Source organism: Homo sapiens, chromosome 1, assembly GCF_000001405.40.
Source record: "Homo sapiens chromosome 1, GRCh38.p14 Primary Assembly".
Lineage (NCBI taxonomy): Eukaryota > Metazoa > Chordata > Mammalia > Primates > Hominidae > Homo > Homo sapiens.
In genome coordinates, this window is record NC_000001.11 from 91,164,944 (window position 1) to 91,165,660 (window position 717).

Below are 717 nucleotides of genomic sequence, written 5' to 3' on the forward strand. Positions count from 1 at the left end.
ACAAATGCACATGTACTGTGGACGTGGGGGAGCAGCCTCAACGCTGCCTCAGGGGGTAAGAGGCTCCTGGACAAGGTAGAAAGGGGCCAGGGAAAGCCGGCCTGGCTATGTGGTGAACTCCGTGAGGTGGGCTGTCAGTCCACAACGCTGTGTCTAGAGAGACTTGGAAAATTCAAGCCTGGTTCGAGAGAGCACGGTCATGCAGAGCAGAACGTGGCTGTGGACATCCAGGAGGGAAGAGGGCAGCCAGGTCAGCCCCAGCTGGTGGGTTGAGTTTCGGGCAACACAGGGAAAGATCCCTGGAGGAGGGGGCCCGCTGGACTGGGCAGGTATGTCAGGGCTTACCGGTAACAGAAGCCAAAGTCCAGGAAACATCTAAGTCACACCTTAGCAGGCTGAAGGGGGGTTGTAGTGGAGGGAGGCTTTTGTGCGGAAGGGTGACCGTCTAGCACCAAGCTCAGTCCCAGATGGAGCAATGGCGATAAGGCTTGTTTGGGCGCCACCTGCTGGTAGGCTGCGGCTACTGTTACTCTGGCCCTGGGCAGGTCCACCTCAGATGGAGGCCAGGAGGGAATTTGTAACAGCACTCATGATGGGATTTTTACTATTTTAGTTTTGGTTGAGGCATGAATACAATAAATGCTAAATTCCAAAGGGGCTACTGTGCAGAAACTTCAAAGTAGTATTAAGAACAGGGTAAACACCTTTTAAATTCCT

At 53.7% G+C, this 717-nt stretch overlaps 1 annotated feature.

Annotated features, from left to right (window-relative positions):
- Nucleotides 274–423: an enhancer, noted in NCBI's record as "active region_1302". NCBI's record gives its function as "activates an Ori minimal core promoter by ATAC-STARR-seq in GM12878 lymphoblastoid cells {active_cell/tissue: GM12878}" and the evidence as "EXISTENCE:reporter gene assay evidence [ECO:0000049][PMID:35858748]".